Below are 7,714 nucleotides of genomic sequence, written 5' to 3'. Positions count from 1 at the left end.
AGATCTGGGATATATATAATTCCTGCCTGTAAATGTTTTCTAGTCTTTTCCACTATAAATACTTAGAAACAATGACTAATGCAGTAGCAATGAGACCTAGATTGTGGTCTTGAAATGTCACTTCTCACTCCAAGAAAACTAGGTTTGCTAAAGATATCACTGATTCCAGGTCTCAGACAGGACATAGCAAAGCTAAGCCTAGCAAATATTGTCATATCAGTTAGCAAATAAGCTGGCAAAGACTGATCAATTTAAAATTCTTCAAGAATTTGGTGGGTTTTCTACTAACCAAGATGACACCATTTGAACTTCAATAATTTTAATAAGTGCAATGGATTGAACAGATCAAACGTACTTATATCTATGAGTGCATAATGCTATTAAAAAAGAATTGCCTACTTTCAGATTATCAATAGAAACTAATCCATTGTTATTAAAATTGTTTAAGAAAGGGAAAAAATTAAGCAGGTAGCCTGCATTTTTTATTAACTCTATCATGGATAACAAAATACTGCATGAGATAAATTTTTTAATAAAAATACTCTAACAAACACATAAAAATAAAATAATTGCATTAGAATCTCACCATTTTAACCCCTAACAAATGATTAAACTTAGGTATTGTGATTCAGTGGTTGTTAAGATCATATAAAGACATGGCAAAATTATGTGCTTTTTATAGCCTTGCTATACCCTACTTATAGGTTTTTAAAAAGACCAAACTTAAGTCTGATTCATTCTCTGGACCCAGCTGCCAATGAGTAGAAATGACAGAGGACAGAAGATGGAAGAACATGTTGAACTGCACCATAAATATGCAATCACCAGAATCCAGACCCTGGGGGCAACTACAGCAAAGTTCAACAGATAAATTGTAAGAAAGAGAAGCAGATTAAAATAAGAGGGAAATAGAATTGTCTCTGTGGATCAAGGGAAAAATGTAAAATTATGAACCAAATAAATATGGCTTTACAAATAAAGGACTAATTGCCTAATGAGTTCTGCCTGAAAGTGTGAATGTTTGTTTTTAGGTAGGAAACACCCATGTTCCAATACCTATCAAGCAGTCAAAATCAACATAATATTTTACTAGCTATTTTGAGAATAAATTTCATAAACAGCACGAGGTAAGGGAATATGAAAAGAATTTATATACCAGAAACCAACCAAGTCTCCCTTTTCACAGTTATCCCCAAACTACTCTCAATCATAGTAATTTAATTTTCTTTTTTCTTTTTAACACAGCGACACTGCAAATCCTGGATCACACTTGTCTTCCTACATTTATAATACTCCAATGGGGTTTCACCATGTTGGTCAGGCTGGTCTTGAACTCCTGACCTCAAATGATCAGCCCACCTTGGCCTCCCAAAGTGCTGGGATTACAGCCATGAGCCACTGCGCCTGGCTATATCTTTTTAAAATACAAATCCGATCATGTTACAATAAAAATACTACTACTACTAAGAGTAATAGTAATGAACAAAATATAACAAAAACCAAATTCATTCTTTCTGTAAAGCAAAAGTGAAAAGGACACACACATTCCTAACATCACACAATGAAAATGTTAAATATGATTTTTTAAGGTAGCTCACAGGCAGAGAAGCAGCAAAGCACATCCTTTCTTTCACACTTGCATCATTCCACATAAAAGGCTTGTCATGGGCTCAGGTGTGCATGACATATCGTGAAAGGGCTCCAGGTGAGAGACCTCACCTCATCCATTCAAAATATTTATAAGTAAAGACGGATAGATAGCATCTGTGTAACAACGGGAGTGTCCTGGATTAAGAAAGGGAGAACTCCAGAGTTTACTATTAAGTTGGTGCGAAAGAAATTGTGGTTTTTGCCATTACTTTCTCACCAACCTAATACATTCTTCTACTGAGCTATGTCACAAAATGTTAGGCAAATTTCTTCCTAAACTACAGATAAAGAAGAGGAAATGATCATCAGGGTTATCCAGATTTGCCTCTGCTCATTCCCTAATGACAAACAAAATAAAAAGCTTCACTCAGCTTCCTGATGTAGCCCCTAACCATCTTTTCAACCTCTTTTCTCACCTCATCCCTTCTATCATTTTAACTCCAGCTGTTCTGCATTCTTGCCCTTCTTAGGATGGGTCCTGCTGTTTTGCAACACCTGGTCTTCATGCTGACGGAAAAAATTACTCAAATACTTTGAAAGGGAAAAAGATTACTGAGTGTCCTATCCAGTATGCCCTTTGAAGTTATTTTCTCTTTTCATTGTCGTTTAGGTATTTTATAGTTCTATAAATCATTGAACACTGATAATAATGAGCATGCTTCTTCACATAAATGCAGATTTGTTCAGCAGGGAAATATTTGGTTATTTTCGTATGGATACTGATTAACTTTTTATTTGTTTGTAAACTTATTTCAACATTTTTGATGACCAATATGTGTCTGTTTACAGATTCTCTTTTGAATTAGCTATAACATCTTTTTTTTTTTTTTTTTCTGAGACGCCTCCCAGGTTCAAGTGATTCTCCTGCCTCAGCCTCCCGAGTAGCTAGGACTAAAGGCACCCACCACCACGCTCAGCTAATTTTTGTATTTTTTAGTAGAGACAGGGTTTCCCCATGTTGGCCAGACTGGTATTGAACTCCTGACCTCAGGTGATCTTCCCACCTTGGCCTCCCAAAGTGCTGGGATTATAGTCGTGAGCCACCGTGCCTGGCGAATTAGCTATAACATCTTAGTGATTCTCTCATTAATTAGTGAGTTAAATAAAATTTTATTTTATGTTATTTCATTTTATTTTTTGAGACGGAGTTTCATTCTTGTTGCCCAGGCTGGAGTGCAATGGTGTGATCTTGGCTCACTGAAACCTCTGCCTCCTGGGTTCAAGAGATTCTCCAGCCTCAGCCTCCCGAGTAGCTGGGATTACAGGCGCCTGACACCACACCTGGCTAATTTTTGTATTTTTAGTAGAGGTGGGGTTTCACCATGTTGGCCAGGCTCGTCTCGAAATCCTGACCTCAGGTGATCCACCCGCCTTGGCCTCCCAAATTGCTGGGATTACAGGCATGAACCACCGCGCCCAGCCCAAATAAAATTTTAAATATTTAATATCTGCAAGAGAGTCATGATTTTGCCTGTAAAGATATACTTTGACAAAATAACCCATTCCTTCTACATTGCTCTACCTTCTTGTCTATTGGATACAGTGATTACTCTTTAAATATTAAGCTTAGGCATTGCATTATTTCTTTTTTTATTTTTATTTATTATTTATTTTTTATTATACTTTAAGTTCTAGAGTACATGTGCACAACATGCAGGTTTGTTACATATGTATACATGTGCCATGCTGGTGTGCTGCACCCATTAACTTATCATTTACATTAGGTATATCTCCTAATGCTATCCCTCCCCCCTCCCCCCACCCCACGACAGGCTCCGGTGTGTGATGTTCCCCTTCCTGTGTCCAAGTGTTCTCATTGTTCAATTCCCACCTATGAGTGAGAACATGTGGTGTTTGGTTTTCTGTCCTTGCGATAGTTTGCTCAGAATGATGGTTTCCAGCTTCATCCATGTGCCTACAAAGGACATGAACTCATCCTTTTTTTCTCAAGGATCTAGAACCAGAAATACTATTTGACCCAGCCATCCCGTTACTGGGTATGTACCTGAAGGATTATAAATCATGCTGCTATAAAGACACATGCATTATTGGGGCACTATTCACAATAGCAAAGACGTGGAACCAACCCAAATGTCCATCAATGATAGACTGGATTAAGAAAATGTGGCACATATACACCACAGAATACGATGCTGCATTATTTCTTTTCAAAACTATTTATGACTTAGCTAGGCAAAACTGACCACCCCATCCACTGGGCCTCATTTTATCCAATGTAATTTTATCATAACAATTGCCGGATTCTGTTGCAATCATTTTATCACTTATATTCTTTCCTACTTGATTCTAACCTCTGGGTATAGGAAATTTCTTCATATTTGTTTTTGTAAATGGAGTACATAGCATTCTGCAACACAGGAAGATTTTAGTACACATTGTAATACAAAAAATGTTGAAAACCACACAAATGTTTGCTATAAAAATTATTATAAAAGACTAGCACCCTTGTAACTATTACCCAGGTTAAAAAAAAAAAAAAGTACTTTGCCAGACACCCAGAAGACATGTGTCCCACTACAATGACAAATCCTCCATCTCTCCATGGGTAACTATTATCCTGAATTTTATAATGATCACTTCATTATTATAGATTGTAACCCAGATATATGTCCTTTGATATATTTCTCCTTTCCATTTTTTTAACTTGATGTGACTTTTAAGTCTTTTTGTTTTGTTTTGTTTTTTGAGATGGAGTCTCGCTCTGTTGCCCAGGCTGGAGTGCAGTGGCGTGATCTTGGCTCACTGCCAGCTCTGCCTCCTGGGTTCAGGCCATTCTCCTGCCTCAGCCTCCCGAGTAGCTGAGTAGCTGGGACTACAGGCGCCCGCCACCACGCCAGACTATTGTTTTGTATTTTTAGTAGAGACGGGGTTTCACCATGTTAGCAAGATGCTCTCAATCTCCTGACCTCGTGATCCACCCGCCTCGGCCTCCCAAAGTGCTGGGATTACAGGCGTGAGCCACCGCACCCGGCCTTAAGTCTCTTTTAATAGCGCCCTATCAATTTGTTTTTTCTTTTTTCTTTTTTCTTTTTTTTTTTTGTGACAGTCTCACTCTTGTTGCCCAGGCTAGAGTGCAATGGTACGGGGTCTTGGCTCAATGCAACTTCCACCTCCTGGGTTGAAGGGATTCTCTTGTCTCAGCCTCCTGAATATCTGGGATTATAGGTGCATGCCACCACGCCCAGCTAACTTTTGTATTTTTAGTGGAGATGGGGTTTCACCACGTTGATCAGGCTGGTCTCGAACTCCTGACCTCAGGTGATCCACCCACCTCAGCCTCCCAAAGTGCTGGGATTACAGGCGTGAGCCACTGCGTCTGGCCCAATTTCTTTCTTTTTCTTACAAATTAACTGGTGATGAACAAGGCTGTGGTTTCCTGTACAGTCTGGATCTTGGTGATTGCACATTAATGGTACAGTTCAACATATTTCTCTGAGTGACTCGTTTGAATGATACTTGTAAGTAATAGCCTATCGGTATGGTGAATATTTCAGGAATTAAAGGACTAACTGTTTGTGGTCATTGCAATTGACTATATGTACATACATTGTAGTTGTCTGATAATTTATTTCCTACCACATGCAATGACTTGCCAAAATGAGACTTTAAAGCATATGTAATACCCAAAACTATTCTTACTTCCTTTTTACAACATATTTTAATTATTTATGTAGTTGTCAAATTTGATACTTCATTGAATATATCCAAAAAGATTGAAAAACTTACCTTTGTAAATTCATAGAATTATGTAATCACCTGATGGGTTCTTCTTGCCCACTGCACAGATAATGCTGATTCAATGGAACAGTGGTATTCCAGTAGAAATAAAGTTTAACAACTGCAGGGCTAGCCAAGAAGAAGAATGGGAGTTTATTATTCAACTCAGCCTCCTGGAAAATTCAGAGGCTAGGGTTTTTCAAGGATAGTTTGGCAGGCAGGAGCCTAGGTAATGGAGAATGCTCATTTATTGCACCAGGGATGAAATCCTAGGGAGTCAAAGCTGTCTTTTTTTTCACTGAGTCAGTTCCTGGGTGGGGTCACAAGACCAGCGAAGGAAGTTTCTTAGTATGAATTACTACTCCAGGTGGTGCCACCTGGTCCAACAGAATACAGGCTCTGAAAAATACCTAAAACACAAATCTTAAGTTTTACAATAGTGATGTTATCTATAGGAGCGATAGGGGAGATTACCAATCTTGTGACCTCTGGCTTCATGATTCCAGAACCATAATTTTAACCTTGTGGCAAATTGGGTTAATTTTACAAAGGTGGTTTCAGTTCCTGAGTAAGGAGTGGGTTAGTTTTGGAAAGGGGCTGTTATCATCTTGGTTTTAAACTATAAACTAAATTCCTCCCAAAGTAAGCTTGGCCTATGCCCAGGAATAAACAAGGGCAGCTTGGACGTCAGAAGCAAGATGGAGTTATGTCAGATTTCTTTCACATTCATAATTTTCGGAAAGGCAGTTTTAATCACAGCTGTGGATGAACGTCATCCCACAATTGAGAGAGTTAAGAATGAGAAAAATTAAATGACTTGCTCACTGTCAGCATATTATTAGCATGGTTGAAACTGGAATATTTTCATAACTCCAATCCTTTCCTAAGCTTATCTGCAAGTGGCTTAAAACAACTTTTGGCTGAGAAAATGTTTTAGTGGTTTCCCATGTTCAGCATCTCTCTCTTTCCTTGTGACTTTACTAGACCTCTGTGAGGTTCCTTTTCCTCTGCCATTGAAGTTTTAATCTGCACCTGGATAAAAGATATGAATGGCCAACCTTTCTCTTGGTTTCTGACAAATCTCCCACTCTCTATGCCCTACTATCACACAGTTTCATGGTGTCCCTGCTTACGTGCAGTCCTGTGAAGGATTTCTTTTCTGATACGCAACTGTTAATTTTGTTAGAACACAAGTAATATATCTATATTTTTAAACCCATGTATTTTTAAAGCCAATCAGAAGTTTATTTTATTTTTAATAAGTTTTCTTCTTAGTCTGCTTGGGCTTGTATAACAAGATACCAAAACTGGGTAATTTATAAACCACAAACATTTGTATCTCACAGTTCTGGAGACTTTGAAGTTCAGGATCAAGGTGGCAGCAGATTCAGTGTCTGGTGAAGGCCCACTTCCTAGACAGCCGTCTTTTCATGTGTTTTCACATGGCAGAAGGGATGAGGGACTCCCGGGATTTCCTCTTATAAGGGCACTAATCCCATTCGTGAGGGTTCCACCCTCATAACCTAATCACTTATCAAAGGACCTACTTTCAAGCACCATCACATTGAGGATCAGGTTTCAGTATATGAATTTGGGGGAGAATAAACATTCAGTCTACAGTAGCTTTTTTTATTTTGTAAAAACTATGCATTTACTGAAATGTTATAAAGGGAGTATGGAGTTCCCATATGCTCTAGCCAGTTTCCACCATTATTATCTTCTTAAATAATCACGGTACATTTGTCAAAACTAAGAAACCAATATCGGTGTCTGGCTATTAATTAAACTATATGCTATTCAGATTTCATTTGTTAATGTCATCTTTCTGTTCCAGGATCCAATCCAGAATTCCACATGCATTTAGTAGTCGTGTCCCATTAGTTTCCTCTATCTGTAATAGTGTCTTAGTATTTTTTCATTTTTCATAACCTTGGCAATTTTGAGGAATTGGGTTGGGTGCTTTCTAGAATATCTCTCAGTTTGGATTTGTCTGATGTCTTTAACATGACTAGATGGATGTTATGGGTTCTGGGGAAGAATACTACAGAAGTGAAGTACCCATTGAACCATATAAATGCATATATACCATCAGCCTGACTTATCATTGGTGAAGTTGGCCTGGATCACCTGGCTGCAGTTGTGTTTGATGGGTTTTTCCCCTGAGAAGTTACTTTTATTACCCTTACATACTATATTCATGGGAAGCAAGTCACCAAGTTCAGCCCACCCTCAAAGGGGAAGAGGGCAGAATTAAGGTTCACCTTTAAAGGGGAGAGTATCTACACATGTTATTTCTAATTTTTATAAGGTAGAGTTATCTTTTTTC

General features: G+C 38.3%; 1 annotated feature.

Annotated features, from left to right (window-relative positions):
- Nucleotides 1-295: a silencer, noted in NCBI's record as "tiled region #5305; K562 Repressive DNase matched - State 9:DNaseU". NCBI's record gives its function as "represses a minimal TATA promoter and a strong SV40 promoter by Sharpr-MPRA in K562 cells {active_cell/tissue: K562}" and the evidence as "EXISTENCE:reporter gene assay evidence [ECO:0000049][PMID:27701403]".

The sequence above is a fragment of the Homo sapiens genome, chromosome 1 (genome assembly GCF_000001405.40).
Source record: "Homo sapiens chromosome 1, GRCh38.p14 Primary Assembly".
Lineage (NCBI taxonomy): Eukaryota > Metazoa > Chordata > Mammalia > Primates > Hominidae > Homo > Homo sapiens.
Note: the sequence above shows the minus strand (reverse complement) of the source record. Positions and strands in the feature narration are given on the sequence as shown.